General features: G+C 37.1%; 1 protein-coding gene across 6 annotated transcripts in view; it reads right to left on the bottom strand.

Moving 5' to 3' along the window:
• Positions 1 to 2,107: 2,107 nt before the first annotated feature.
• The window catches only part of RAP1A (RAP1A, member of RAS oncogene family), a 174,683-nt gene continuing 160,430 nt past the window's right edge, over positions 2,108 to 16,360 (bottom strand). For all 6 annotated transcript variants that reach the window (NM_001370216.2, NM_001291896.3, NM_001394066.1 and 3 more), the window contains 4 exons: positions 15,323 to 15,463; positions 14,313 to 14,456; positions 9,535 to 9,650; positions 2,108 to 6,368 (listed from right to left, as the gene is read on the bottom strand). In NM_001370216.2, the coding sequence (NP_001357145.1) occupies positions 9,564 to 9,650; positions 14,313 to 14,456; positions 15,323 to 15,463 (372 nt within the window). In that variant the 3' untranslated portion in view covers positions 2,108 to 6,368; positions 9,535 to 9,563. The remainder of the gene's footprint in view (positions 6,369 to 9,534; positions 9,651 to 14,312; positions 14,457 to 15,322; positions 15,464 to 16,360) is intronic.

Genomic DNA, 16,360 nt, shown 5'->3' with positions numbered 1-16,360 from the left:
TGTCCTCACCAAGTCTCACTGAGGTGGTTCCTATGCCCTAGATATTTAATTCAACCTACTAGATAGTTAACTTCTTGTTTCAAGGCCAGCCATGACATGGCCCCAATGTATTCTTCCAGCCTATTCCTTCCACATTTCCCAACACTAAATGGAACTAGATAACTTCTTGTTCATTTCCGTTTTCTGCACTTGCTTTTTCCGGAAATCTGTCTATAATATTCTTCCTTACTCTCACCTGTTGAAAATCCCACCTTTTTTTTTTTTTTTTTGAGACAGAGTCTTAAACTATTGCCCGGGCTGGAGTGCAATGGCATAATCTTAGCTCACTGCAACCTCCGCCTCCCGGGTTCAGGCGATTCTCTCCTGCCTCAGCCTCCCGAGTAGCTGGGATTACAGGCGCCCGCCACCACGCCTGGCTTATTTTGTATTTTTTAGTAGAGACGGGGTTTCACTATGTTGGCCAGGCTGGTCTTGAACTCCTGACCCTGTGATCCACCCACCTCAGCCTCCCAAAGTGCTGGGATTATAGGAGTGAACCACCGTGCCCAGCCAATCCCACCCTTTCTTAAAGGCCTACTTCAAACGCCCCTCTGAGGAACTTCAAATCTCCCAGAATGGAAAGCATCTGTCCCGTCTCATACTACTTTCCTTCTTTGAGACCTTCTCTATACCTATATACCATTTTCCCTCCTGCAACTATGCCCACCTACACTCCTGAGTCAGCTTCTTTACTTTTATACTAGACTCCACCCATTTAGCTTACTGTTTTCCTTCTCAGTGGGTCATCCCCCTTAGCTCAGAAACATGCACTGTTTCACCCATCTTAATAGGGTAATGCATGCTTGATGTCTCCAATGTTTTTCTTCGCATTTTTTCCTGTGTCTACTCCAGACAATGTCCCCAAACATTCCACAGTCCATCAAAGTCACCAGTGCCCTCCATGTTTTTCTCTAATTCCTCTCCATCTCTCAACCTCTTGATAGAATTCCTCAGGAACCTCTTTTCTATCTACACTCAACCCTACTGATCCTCCATAGTTTCATGTTTTAAAATACTGAATGTCCTCTCCAGACTGCTTCTGCTGAATTCGACTCGTATCCAACTGCCTACTATAAATCTCTAGAATGTGACACACTTCTTACACATAGTAGGTTCAAAATGGAACTCCTGCCCATTCCTCATTCTCCTTCCAATCTGCTCCTGTCATAATCTTGATTATTGGCCCAAATCTTGGATTCTTCCTTGTTCCCTCTCTATTATACTCTTATGTGTCAGTAAATCCTGTTGGCTCCACTTGCAAAATACACCTAGAATATAGCCACTCCACTGCTACCACTATGGTCCAAATCACTGTCCCTCACATGATTCCGTGTTCTAAGTGGTATCAGCCTTCATGTTTGTCCTCATACGGGCTATTCTCAGCTCAACGGAGCACTCCTGATGGCATATTATGGTTGAGGAGTCTGATCACATTATACCCTCTGCTGAAATCCTTTCCGTGGACTCAACACAGAGTAAATGCTGTGGGAAATTTCCCCCTACTCAATCCCATTACCTCTCTTTTACTACTCTTCTCCCACTTGCTCACTCTGCTCCACCCATACTGACCTCCTTGCCAGTCTTCAACACACCAGGCACATGTCCACCTCATGGCATTGGCACAGACCCTTTCCCCAAGGAATGGAAAATCCTCCTTTCCCCCAGGCAGTTGCATGGGCTGCTCACTTTGAACACTTACTCGAGTATCAACTTCAATGAGATATTAACCCACTACCACCACCTCTGCCCAGTACTCTTGCCCCTTTACACGGCTTAATTCTTCTTCAAAGCACTCATCATTACACAAGTTATCTTTTACCATTTTCTAAAGATAAAAACTCCACGAGGAAAGGGATCTGAGTCTGTACTGTTCACTGTTGTTTCCGCGGCATGCAGATCAGCACTTGCCATACAGTAGAAGTGCAATGAATATTTGTTGGTAGGCCCCTAAGGATCATGTCCTGTTCTGATTTGCATGTCCTACAACATTCAGCACAAAAATTTGAACATGGTAAGCTTTAAAAAAATTCATTGAAAACAACAGCTCAAAATAAGAGTCACACCACTGTTTAAAATGGGAAGGTTTATTAAGGTTTTTCCTCAAGAGGAACAGCCAATCTCTTGCTTCTTGAGAGAAGCAATTAGTGGGAAATGTATGTCACACCTTGGGCCCAGAACCACAGGAGGCCGCTTCTCAGCATGCCCAACGAACATACATCATCCCCAATTCCCATTTAAAGCTCATTAATGTCTACAAAACAGAATCCACGTTGCCTTCCCAGAAAACAGAACTAGGAACCCAGTCAAAGCCTCCAGCTGTTCTCAACAAGAATATTTAAGCAAGACAGGGCAATAAATGGACTGCACATTCAACAAACCCATGATGAAACTGCAGTAAAATCCAGGATCAAAGAAATGTCTGGACTACATTTTCAAGAATAACTTACAGTTTTTACATTTTGGGGAACATAAATACTAAAAGCTGGGTAGTTAGACCGCCTCAAAGCTCACATTTATTTCCCTCTCGGCAAGATGAGCTCTTTCCAGACCCTGGACAAGAATCCAAACCACTCTGCCCTTTTAAGCCTGGAGCTGATTCAAGAGGGGATATTTTAACACATATTTAGCACCTTAAATAAGTACAAAATCCAAATTCTTAAAAAGGTTATTTTACAAATTATTTTCCTCCTCCAAATACCTGACAATTTCTTCACACTTTGGTTTCAACACACATACAATTTATAAGAGTATATTTTATGTTTTCTAGCATTCTGCTGTGATTGCTTGCAAAGGAAAATACCAAGGTATTCCTTATTTCTCTTTCTGTCCCTCAGTGCCTAAGACAAAACTGAGGCACATAAACTGACAAATACATGTGTATCTACAAGGGTAATGGGGCAAAATATTTTAAACTGGCCATGTCCAGGAAATGTAGAATGTCTTATTACTATTCTTCTATGGAGAAAAATGTTCCAAGCCTGTTTTAATAAAGTTGGTAATAAAGATCATTATTTTCTATAAGTATTAACTTTTCCAAGTACATTATAACCTCAAAGAAGAAGAATATTTCAGTGAGGAGTAAATGGTGGCCATTTATGATGGCAAATCAAGGTGCCAAACACAGATTAGTTCAGAGTTGTAGGGAGAAGAGAGTAACACACCAACATCCATATTTTGCCAAAAGTTCTTAAGATAATTACCCATGCAGCTGCAGTTCAGAAAACTAGGGTGTTATTCATATCTTTGATGAACTGTAGTATCTTCCCTGCCCAATTAGATTGTAAACTCTTGAGAGAATGTCTCTATGCCTTTTTGTGAACCACACAGTGTTTATGTACTAGGACTTAAATAGTTACTTCAATGCTTATGAAAGTATTAACCGGGCCAGGCGCGGTGGCTCACGCCTGTAATCCCAGCACTTTGGGAGGCTGAGGGGGGGGCGGATCACGAAGTCAGGAGTTCAAGACCAGCCTCGCCAACATGATGAAACCCCGTCTCTACTAAAAATACAAAAATTAGCTGGGCGTGGTGGCGGGTGCCTGTAATCCCAGCTACTTGGAAGACTGAGGCACAACTGTTTGAACCCGGGAGGCAGAGGTTGCAGTGAGCGGAGACTGAGCCATTGCACTCTAGCCTGGGCGACAGGGCGAGACTCCATCTCAAAAAAAAAAAAAGTATTAACCGATGTTGAAGCTCCCCCTGGTGGAGGGTAAGATTACAGCTGGATTGTGTATTTACTGTTAATTTCTAAAAGTAGACTGTTCAGGGATACCACCAAGCCATTAGAGCAAACTATGAACTATGGCATGAAGCCTCCTTAAATTCTGTGTCACTCATATAACCAAACCAAAGTCATTATACTTTAAATAGCCACACATACTAATATGAAATCAGTTTCTAGATATTTATCATTTGACATTCACACAATATCCTAGAAACTCTTGATTTTTCAGCTATAAAAATACATTTATTTTCAGGTACCCTTCCCTTTGGAACCAAGACTAAGGAGTTCACATTAGGACAATATAAAAACACACCTATCTCACTTTCTAACAGGATACTTTTCATCCTGCTCAGCAACCACAGATTTCCTTGCACATCTGACTTCAGCTGGTCCTGCTCTGCATATCACTGTGTGCCAGAAAGGCGTTTTTCTTGACAGTTCCACCTTTAACCCAAGTGGACTGTATAAGATGTGACAAAGGAATCTAATAACTATCATCTTTCTCCACCACATTCTAAAATAGAATAGACTGAGTTTATGCTACTAGTCAAGCAGACTGAGACTTGGAGTCTTATTAAATGACTTCTATTTAATCTGTTAAATAACTACACAATAGATGTGACAAGGTAGTATTTAGAAAGTTTTACTGGTTGATGAGATGTCTGTCTATGATCTTAAGTTTAAAGGTATGTTTGAGGGGTGTTTTAAAGCAGAATGACTTTAGAGGACCTTAAAATAAAAGATGCCACCCTGACCTGACAACTGGCCCTAATACTTCATTCAAGTTCGCTATAGTTTTGGCCCCTCAATCCCAGACATATGCATAATTGGATAAGTAGAAGGGAAGTGTAAGGTAACTAAGTTTATTCGAAACTAAAACAAAAACACAAACAAAAAAAATTTCCATTTTTTTAAAAACAATACTTTAACATTTTCTCAGGTTGGTCAAAGCTTAACATTTGAAACCTGATTTTAAAATTTCAGTTTAGTAAGTGACAGGCTGACCACATGCCTGGAAAATCTCAGCAAGGCATGAACACTTCTTCATACCTAGTTGCAAAGAGACAGTATCTAGAGATCCCTGAGCAATGACTTAGACTTTCTAGGACTGGTCTGTCTCCTCCTTAATATTTGAGGACAAGGCACAGGGTTTTCTAAGCTTGTTTCTTTCCTTTTCCAGAACTTAATTGGCTAACAAGCTTTTTGTTCTACCTCTCTTTATAGAGACTACATAAGTAGTATCACCCTGGGTCCATGTCTTACTTAAGCCCTATCTTTTGTAAAGAGGAAAATAACTGGGAAGGAAAAGAAAAAGCACCACTATATAGGAAGCTACAATTTTAACTTAGCAATCTCTTCCATATTACTACTACCATACTATTTCATAAGTAGTTTAAGCAAAAGTAACACATTCCTTTTATGTGTTTTAACTTTCTCTCACTTCTCTCAAATTCTTCAATCTATTATAAAGCAAGTTTGAAATTTTTCACATAACACTTCATTGGTGGACTCACACCCAACAAATTAACAATGCAAAAGGATTCCCTTGATGAAATTACAAGCTGTGGAAGATCTGAAATAGTAAAAGTTAAACCCTGATACAGTATTAAACTTATCTTTTTACATATAAAAATAATATACAGTGGGATATTCAATAAGATACAATCTTTAAGATCAAGAGAGAATATACAAAACTATTCTATGTTGTCTGATGTATTTTACTGTATAGTAGGAATAAATATATTTAGAACAGAAAGTGCGAGGTCTGTTCCTAGAGAAATCACCAGTTACTTAGTATAGTTTAAAGCCAGTGTTCTGCAGATACTAGGCAGAAAGGAGCTACTGTCGCATTTAAAACAATGTGGTCATTATAAAATAAACGCTTTAATCTATAAACAATAACAAAAACACACAAACCAAATGAAAATGTACTAAAATTTAATCATCCATAAAAGCTGTAATTTAATCTGACAGTAAAACACAAGAAGCAATATTAGAGTTGGTTTAGTATATTATATATTTTAGCTTTGAAAGCCATAGAAATCAGTTATCCCAGTTTTTTTCCTATAAAAGACCCATTTTTCCAAAGCATTATGCACAATTTTAATTAGAATATAATGACAGATGATATTCCATAATTTTTTAAATATAAAATGAAGTCAATGACTCAAAAAAGTTATCTGCTGCAATGAGTTTGAGGGGACATTTCATAATCAGTATCATTACAGATATAAAGTATAATGGTTCAACTTTTTAGTGCTTGATAGGGAGGATCATGATAAAAAGATCAATATGAAATCATTTGATTATAGTAGCAATATCTAACATTTGAAATGCATCCATGCTCTTTTGTATAATCATATTAGAGTCAAGTATATTTTCACATCTGTTATAACTGCTATTGCAAAGGAGAAATACTATTGTCTTATTTTCCAAGAGATATACACAGAGCAATTTTTTTCTCCAGGGAACTTGTGCAAACCAATATAAGATCTAAATTCTTCACATAATATATAAAACAGGAGAAGCCTCTTCAGATTTTTTATTTTTGAAGTCTGGAATGCTGGCACTTTCCAATTAGGCAACAGTTCTTCATTCCTGTAATCTAAGACATTGGATACAGATATACATATATGTATGGTTAATCTCTTGATGTCAGAAAATGGTACTAAACAAGCAGGTATTCAATAAAATAAAAAAATAATGATTTTAGCTGATCATAACTTGAGAACTAAATTATGCTAAACAGCTACAGTAACAGTGCTATTTTAAATTCCCTTTAAAAATGTTTTAAAAAATCAAAAATAGAAGTTTACAAGAGGAGTCTATAACTGATCAACTTGAATTATCCTCAGTTATACTTAGTTATACTCAATTATAGTGTTTCCCATTACATCTGACAATCCTGTCTGTACAAAGGAAGACAATGATATTTTTATTCTATCTCATTACCATCTTATTTTTACTTTCCTTTTTTACTGAAGGACACACCTGCCTCCATAAACTTTCCATAAGATATTCTTTATTCAAGCATTTTATGATTATATATTAGAATTACCATTTCTAATACAGGTTAAGGCAAGGGATGATACAGAAAGAGCTAATCCCCATAGTCAAGAGCAGAAGAATCAAAGTTAGTCTTATTGTCAACAGACAAGAATCAGGTAAAATAATCCACATGATGAATTTCTCTCAGATGTCTTTAAAACTGGGACATATAAAAAGGAGATTAACATGATTCAATACAATTTTGCCTAAAGGCTATGGACTAGATAAGGTGGCCTCAGAGTTCATGTACTCTTACTAAAAACGTTTATAATTTCTATTTAAATCTATCCTGTATCTCAGTACTTTTAAAAGTACAGGAACAACATGGCACTTCAAATCTACAATCACACTAAAATGTATGCAAAGCAGTCTGATTGCTAAGTCACCTATTATTTGGTATTATCAAACATCCACAGAGATCTTGGATGACTTATTAAGTAAACTTTATCACACATCAGAGTCTAAGAATTTATGCAAGCAAGACTAAAGTCTTATTCCAGATCTAGGTCAAGATTTATCTTCTCTAAGGTAAAACTCACAAGGGACTGTCACATTGTTGGGTGTGTATAAATGAATTTTAAAAATCGTAATAGGCCAGGAGATGGCACCTTTTCCTTTAACATAAGCTAAAAGGATATTTTGTGAGAACTGGAAATTAAATTAGGGCCAGCCATGGTAATGAGCTGTCAATAAGCCAGTCAACTATAACAGAGTTAAATAATATAGTATTTAAGAACTGGAACTGGAGTCTTCATTTTCTCTATCTTTGCACCTTTACCTAAACAAATACATACACCAGTAATCTTAATAATCACTTTCAGGGAACTGATGATTTAAAGTTATAGAATCAAGGCCAGGCGCGGTGGCTCACGCCTGTAATCCCAGCACTTTGGGAGGTCGAGGCAGGTGGATCGGATCACCTGAGGTCAGGAGTTTGAGACCAGCCAGGCCAATGTGATGAAACCTTGTCTCTACTAAAAATACAAAAATTAGCCAGGCATGGTGGTGCACACCTGAAGTCCCAGCTACTCAGGAGGTTGAGGCAGGAGAATAGCTTGAACCCAGGGAGGCAGAGGTTGCAGTGAGCAGAGTGTGCCACTGTACTCCAGCCTGGGTGACAAGGCGAGACTCCGTCTCAAAAAAAAGAAAAAAAGTTATTGAATTAAGATTTCATTAAAAGCCTAAAGCAAACATTAGCCAGATGCTGTCTTTCCTAAATCTGACTACCAGAGATAATCCCTAGGCCCTTTTCTCCTTTCTGCCCATTTTTCCTCTATGTACCTTCATTTAAAAAAGGAACTACAATTACTCAGGTGTTTCCCTTAATAGAGAGATTCATATCTCTAAGGAAGCACACAGTAGTTAATTGGGAGCTCTTAAGGGATAATCTACTAAATAGACCAAGAGACTTACAAGAGTTAGTGTAACCAACTTTCCAGTGGGACCAGTTTACTCCAACTGGAGACCAAGTTTAGTAATAATCATGTAATAAGCACCAAATTATGTAATAAATCCACTCCATGAAAATAATCTTTTATGGTATTATTTATAGAACTGATTAAGTAGAAACCTTCAGGGGATTTAAATACAATACAAATTAAAGAAAAAAGTCCCCATAGATCCTGGTTTCTCACTTGAGAGTCAGCTTAAATGCTGTCATAAATTTCTTTCCAATGGGGTCACTTAGTGGAAACTAAAATGGTAAAGTCAACTAATACTTAGAAGCCCAAATAGAAAACCTTTATTTGAAAGAAGTTGACTCATACCAGAGAGGGAAATAACTACCAAAATTACACTGATACACCACCACACATCTCCTGGAATGGGTCAAGTTAAGAAGACTGACAATATCAATTTTGGGGAGAATGTAGAACTCAAAAACCGTTGCAGGGTGTGTAAACTGGTACAGCCACTTTGAAAAACTTTTTAGCAGTATCTACTAAAGCTGTCCATATGTATAGTATATGATCTGGCCATTCCATTCTTAGATATATACCCAACAGAAATGCATGTACATGTGCACAAAGACATATAGGAATGTGCACAGAATTATTCATACTAATTCCCCCAAAGAAAGAACTTAAATGAACACCAACAGAAGAATACATAAACATACTGCCAGTACTGTCATGCAATAAAAATGAACTACTGATACATTTAACATAAATAATTCTCAAAAACATATTTTGGAGTGCAAGAAGCCAGACACAGGAAATACACTACGTTTTTGTTTATGTAAAGTTCAAAGAGAGGCAAAACTAATCCATGGAGTTAGAAATCAGGGCAGAGTTTTAATTTAATTTGGGGAAGGGTGACTCTTGTTGTTATATACGGGTATGTCACTTTGGGATAATTCACCAAATGTGCACTTAAACTTTTTCAGAGCAACTACTGTTTCACTTCAATTAAGAATGAATTTGGGAGTCATCTAGGAAGGCGTTCTATTCATTCAACTACTATTTTTTAAAACCCAACTCTGTATCAAGCACTGGGGACACAGTGGCAAGAAAAAACAGAAATGGTCCCTGCTGTCAGAGAGCTTAGAATCTCAAGGGGAGAGGGCAAGTTATCCAACAGATGACGTACCTACAAGTTATATATCACATTTACAAGTTACAGAAGCTTAGAAATACCATAACAGATGAAATGGGAAGTAGCTAAAGTCTGGAAAAAGCCAAAATAGGAGCATGAGAAAGGCACTTGTTCTGCTTTTAGCATCTTACCTGGCTCAGAGCTGCTGCTGACTATGGGCCTAGAGCAGCAGACATGATTTCTTTTTAGGCTTCTTCTTTTCCACTGGTGTTTTCCTATTTATCTGTCTGACCAGGTCATAAAATATCTAAGTAAAAACAAGAAAAAAAGTACTTACTCCACCAGTTTTTGAGACTTTGTTCCACAAAACAATTCTGGTAAGTACTATTCTGGTCTTAGATCTGCATTCTGCTTCTTTCTTTTAAAGTCAGGTTTGTTAGAAGGCTCTGCTGACTTTCAATCAGGGTAGAAAGCAGGACTTACCTATTTATAATGAAGGAAATGCCCTTGCTCCTAGATATTCGACATCAAATCAAGAAAAAGAACTGGTAGTGAAAAATAGTGAAAACTCCAAACCAACGGAAAAGTTGCAAAAATAGTACCAACAACTTCGGTTCTATTCTTCCCAGATTCACCAATTAGTAACATTTTGCCACTTTTACTACACATACATACACACACACGTGCACACACACACACTTTCTGAATCATCTGAGAGTAGACCTTAACTATTAAGTCCTTTAACAGTTAAGTTGTTCCTAAGAACAAGGATATTCTCTTACATAAACACGTTATAGTTATTGCACTTGAGACATTTAAGGATTGACACATTATTTTGTATAACTACAGAGCAAATTCCAATTTTGTCAACTGCCCCAATAATGTACTTTATAGTAACTTTCCCCTCCAAGGACAGGATCCATTCAGGATCACACATTGCAGTTTATTTCCTCTCACTTTAGTTTTTAAAAATCTGGAACAGTTCTTTGGCCTTTGCCTTTCAGGACATTGTCATTTCTGAAAAATAAAGGCTAGTAACTTCCCTTGATTTGGGTTTATCTGAGGTTTTCTCGTGATTAGATTCAGGTTATATACATTTTTGTCTAAAATAGGACAAAAGAGATACTGTCTCCCTTTCAAGGTATCACATGCGGAGGCGCATGATTTTTGTTTGCCTTTTTTTGATGTTAATTTTGGTTAAACGTAAAAAGTAGAAAAAGTCTGCTAATCCTTGATTTGAAATAACAAATATTTGTGGTTTTTAGTTTGTTTGTTTTGTTTTGAGACAGAGTCTTGCTCTGTCACGCAGGCTGGAGTGCAGTGGTGCAATCAGCTCACTGCAACTTCCACTTCCCAGGCTCAAGTGATCCTTCCATCTCAGCCTCCCGAACGGCTGGGAGCTACAGCGTGCACCACGACACCCAGCTAATTTTTGTATTTTTCGTACAGACAAGGGTTTTGCAATGTTGTCCAGGCTGGTCTCAAACATCTGAGGTCAAGTGATCTGGCTGCCTCAGCCTCCCAAAGTGCTAAGATTTTAGGTGTGAGCCACTGTGCCCAGCCCAAATAATGTTTGTTAATACATCTTGTGGATTCATTTTTGGATGAAAAGTGCAAAGTATCAAAGACAAAAATACAATGCTACTTATCTCATAAAAGCAGACTATTTTAATTCTGATGCCAAAGTATTAAAACATGAAACAGATAAGCTTTGCTATGAAATACAACACTTACTAATGATTTGGAATAAAAACAAATATCACAGAAGTCCCTTATTGATACTAATCTGGAATAAATAATTCTTTGCAGTATATTAAAAAATGGACTGGCTTTAAGGAGCATTACAGGGACAACTGGTAAAATCTGAATATATACCAAACACAGACTGTGTCATCAATTTTTAGGATTCTAATCATTGTGCTGTGGTTGTGTAAGACAATGTCTTTGATCTGAGGATACATACACTAAAATATTTAGGGGTAAAGAAGTGTAATTTCTGTAAACAAGTGGCAAAATTTTAATAATGGGTGAATCTGATGAAGGGTAAACAAATTCTTCTTTATTGTTCTTACATCATTTGAGTACATTTTAAGAGTAAAATATTTTTAAATTATCGGTCTACATGTATTTTAAGATAGATGGCAAATAATTGTATTTCTTTAAAATGATAATTACCTATTTCCTTTTTTAAATGGTCCAGACTACAAGACTAAATTAACCGTTAAAAAAAAACCTGAATGATTTATCCAAAAGCTACAAAAGTGACTCATTTAAATTCTTTTCTTTCTGCTCCATTCTTCCCACTCCCATCCTCTTCAAATCATTTAACTCTCTGTCATCTTATTTCTAAAGAAAGTCTGAAAACAGAATTTATAAACAAAATTGTAGTTTCTGTTTTACAACTCCGAAGTCCAAGTTGTTTCAAAACTCTGAAAACTTCAAGAACTCAATGTGCTTAAGCCACAAATGAGTTTTCATTAGTTCCCTATACTCAATGCATAAGCTATAAGATAAAAAAATAATAAAAGTAAACTAAAACAGTAAGTTAATAAAAATTACAAGTAGTTTCTATTTCAGTTTCTTCATACTAGCCAGTTTCTGGTTTCTGGTACTATATAGAAAGGTAACTAATGCTTGTAGTATTATTCTAAATTATTTCTTTGGAAAACATTGCCTACCTCACAGCAGCAGATGGTTCAGTGATGAGGGCAAGTTCGAACTATAATATTTGGTTAGAAATGCTGAAAGGCCCCAGCCTAGGTTCTTCCTCATCTCTCTGAACTATAGAAAAATCTAAAGGGAACACAGAATAGAGTTTCTCAATCCCTCTCCCATTCCTAAATTGGGTTGTCTTGATTCCAATTACTATTCCAGCCTCAGCAAAGAACAATTAATTCTTGATTAAGACTACTGTGATTCTGGCATAGCCATATACTACTTTAAGAACGTTGCAAAGTGGTGTGAATAAGAGTTTTTGAAAAATTATATATATATATATATGAATGAATTAGGGGGCTCTTTAGCCAAGCAGTATGTCCTGGTGTCTGTTTTCAAATTTAAGGCCAAGAGGTGAATTTTTGAAAGTATCTCTCTATACTTCAGGCATTCAAAACTCACAAAAAAATTTACAAGGCAAAAGTTGTGTGAGGAACTATTAACTACCAAAGAAATCCTGTAGCTGGATTATTGGGTTATAAAGAGAAAAATATTAAAAGAAACTCAAATTATCTGCTCCATTCTCCCCACTCTCAAGAACTGAGCATAAAGTTTGTATGTTTTCCAAAAAGTAAAGATTCTTGAGATGGCTAATGCATTTCATTTTATGGTTTTTCTATGTTTGTTTTTATAAACCCTCGTTTATAAACTCTCTGCTTTAACAAGACTGCTATGAAAAAGTATCTCTGCTGCATTGGAAACTAATCCAGAGGAAGTTTAATAGCATGTAGGTTCTCACAAACATGTAGTGTACTGTCCTCTGGCTCCCAAAGGGAGAAGTCCTATGCACTGGACTCAGGCCCAACCCAGCCCCACCGGAGCCTGGAGTCTGATGAACTTGGTTGGTGGGTCCCATGGAGGTAAGGACAAGGACAGCAAGGAACCACATCCCGTAAGGCCAATTATCTTGTAGATAGTGACCTCATGTCACTGTTCTGCTAGCCAAACATATTCACAATTTCTAACAAATTCTTTATCAAAATCACTTTTTTTCTTTAATTATTGCTGAAAGACTTGTTCCCCCAGTAGGATGCAAACTTCTTCAGGGCAGGAATAGTGTCTGTCTGAGTGACTGTTACCTGAGGGCCTGACACAGTGCCAGACACACAATAGTCAATAAATATTTGCTGAATAAATACAATTTATAAATTTCTTGTTTTTATGTACTTGTTAAAAATGGTTTCACATAAAAAAACAAGCTTTGGCATTCTTGATTATCTGTAAAATACAGAAGTTGAAGCAAGCTTAATTTTTTTTTACCTGCCAGGTGTTTAAAGTAACCTGGTCATTTTTAAAAGTCAAATAGTCTATAAGCATAATATTAGTCAAGAAAAAGTGGCCAGCAGAACCACAGGCCAGAGAGAATAGCAAAAACAGAGGACTCATAACTTAACCCACTCTCACTCTCACCTATGTAGTTAAGTGATCTGAATTCTGACTGATTACCTGTAATGCTACAAATGGCAAAAGCAACGGCAGGAAAGAAGCCCACTCTGTTGTTTTTATTTTTTTAAAAGGCTTATGTTAAGGTTAACAAAAGCAAGGGAACTATTTAAGGTTGACTGGTGGGGACAGTTGGAAATTGCTCTAAATTTTTAGGGGCCCAGTAAACTAGTAAACTGTTGGCCCTTTACACCCAGGCATGCAGCTTATTTGCTAAGTATTCTTGTCCACAGCTGTTTTCAAGATAGTGGAGTGCTTAACCCAGTGACCCCACCCCCATGCCCCACACAAAAGCCTTGTGCATCAGCTGTATCAGGCCTAAAGGACTGAGTGAATTCCAGGTACATGTCCATACCCACACAGATTACCCACTTATGAGTCATGCACCAAAGGTGAGGTAAGACTCAGAACACAATTCTGTGATATCCATAAAAACATATTATTTTCCAACTTGACTTTACAACCTATTTATATACATTTGGGTAAATAATTATTACAATATAAGGTGATGTAACAATTTTTACACACCACTTTATCGCATATCACTTAGAGGCTTAGCAGGATTTTACACACATTCTTCAATTTTAGCTTCCTCTTTTACAATAAGGTAAATTTAAGTATCCTCATACAGCCATCAAAGTGACCTTATGCAAGCTAAAAAATATAGTTTCCAGGAATTACTTAGTGTTTCCTATAAAATTATGGAATCAAGATTGCTTAAAAGATAAAAATTTTTTCTTAAAAGTCTGGCTGTTAACTTAAAGCAAACTAAAAAGGCACTTGTTTGTGCTGCCCAGCAGTTGTAGGTTACCTCATTAACATTGATCTTTGACTTTGCAGAAGATTCTAAAAAGGCACAGTTACACCACTGTCTTGCTAAATTCTGGCCCTGCTCTTTGCCAACTACTCGCTCATCTTCCAGGTCACATTTATTGCCAACCAAAATCATTGGAACCTGTGGGAAGAAAAAAACGTAAAATGAACAATAACATACTCATTACTTAGCCTTTTAAAAAAATAAATAAGCAATTATCTGCCACCAACTGAAATGCATTAGTTGGGACCGCAAGCTTCATCAAATACTAACGAAAAGTATATGTTGAGGGGAAGAGGCGAAGGAAGAAGGAAGAGACAAAAAAAAAAAAAAAATGGAAGAGATCCTACTACATAGATATGCCAAATTATTTTAAGAATATAATCCTGGCCAGGCACAATGGTTCATGCCTGTAATCCCAGGGAGGCTGAGGTAGGAGGACTGCTTGAGCTCAGGAGCCTGAGACAAGCCTGGGTAACATAGTGAGACCTGGTCTCTACTAAAAAATTCAAAAACAATCAGCCAGGCAGGGTGGCACACACCTGTAGTCCCAACTACTCAGGGGGTTGAGGTGGGAAGATCACTTGAGCCCGGGAGGTAGACTGTGATGTGTGAATTATACCAATGGAATTTTAGAAATAAAAACACACCACTATGGATCTTAATAATGTTCTTTGAACACTGTTTCTGACACAACCATCACCTTTCAAAGCTCAACTCAGGTCCCACTTCTATGAAGTATTCTTTGGCTCCTCTTTTTCCTCTACTGCACTTTTTAACCTATAGCACAATGAGTACTTTATCACATATGTCCTCATTTTCTAAACATCTCACCACATAATTTTGAGGTTAATTTTGAAAGTTAAATTTTTTTCTTTTGGTCACAGGGGCTCTTTCAGGCATGTGGTAGATAGCTTCCAAATCCTCTACTAATAGAGAAAACAGGCACTTTTTTATTTGGCCACAGAGAGATGGCATAACATCTTACAGAGAGAAAAAATACTTACATCTTCCGTGTCCTTAACCCGTAAAATCTGTTCCCTCAGGTCCTGTAAGTCGTTAAACGTGGACTGAGCTGTAATAGAATATACTAGTGCAAAACCTTGGCCGTTCTTCATATACAAATCCCTCATTGCTGTAAATTGCTCCTATGATTTAAAAAATATGCAATTATAAATATATAAATTTCTTGAATGTATACTGCAACAATTTAAAACAGCATAATTACAAGTGAGTAACATTTTTTATTACTTGCTATCCTGACAGAAAACAAGACATAACACAAGTTTCTAGCAACTGAGGTGACTAGAAACAATGACAGTAAACTAGAATTAAAAAGGAATTCTTAACCACTTTAATTTGCTTTTGTGTGATTTAGAGCTGTATATAATTTTTTAGAAACAGATCTTTTGATCCTAAATAATTTTATTTGCAAATTTATGACACAACTACTGCCCAAGTGCTAACAATCTGAGGTATAAGCCCAATACTAAACTATGACTTCATCATCCAGAATCAATATCTCTACTGGCAGATTTTATCATCTTTCTTTTTCTATTCCCATGGCATAGCAATATTTTTATCATCTTGACAGTCAATAAACTCTTTATAAGAGCTTGTTAATGGTCAGGGGCAATGACTCACACCTGTAATACCAACACTTTGGAAGGCCAAGGCAGGTGTATCACCCCAGGTCAGGAGTTCAAGACTAGCCTGGCCAACACAGTGAAACCCTGCCTCTACTAAAAATACAACATTAGCCGGGCGTAGTGGTGCACACCTGTAGTCCCAGCTACTTGGTGGAAGAAGAATCACTTGAACCCGGGAGGTGGAGGTTGCAGTGAGCCAACATCGCACCACTGCACTCAAGCCTGGGCAACAAGAGTGAAACTCTGTCTCGGAAAAAAAAAAAAAAGAGCTTGTTCATGTATTTTCATTTTCCCCCTCATTCCAAACCTTTAGAAAAGATGTGAGAATAGTGCAATGACTATCTATCCCCTTTAGTTAAATTTACTAATGGTTAACATTTAGTTACTGAGCTTTAG

Source organism: Homo sapiens, chromosome 1 (assembly GCF_000001405.40).
Source record: "Homo sapiens chromosome 1, GRCh38.p14 Primary Assembly".
Taxonomy (NCBI): domain Eukaryota; kingdom Metazoa; phylum Chordata; class Mammalia; order Primates; family Hominidae; genus Homo; species Homo sapiens.
This window is presented reverse-complemented; position numbering and strand designations above follow the sequence as displayed.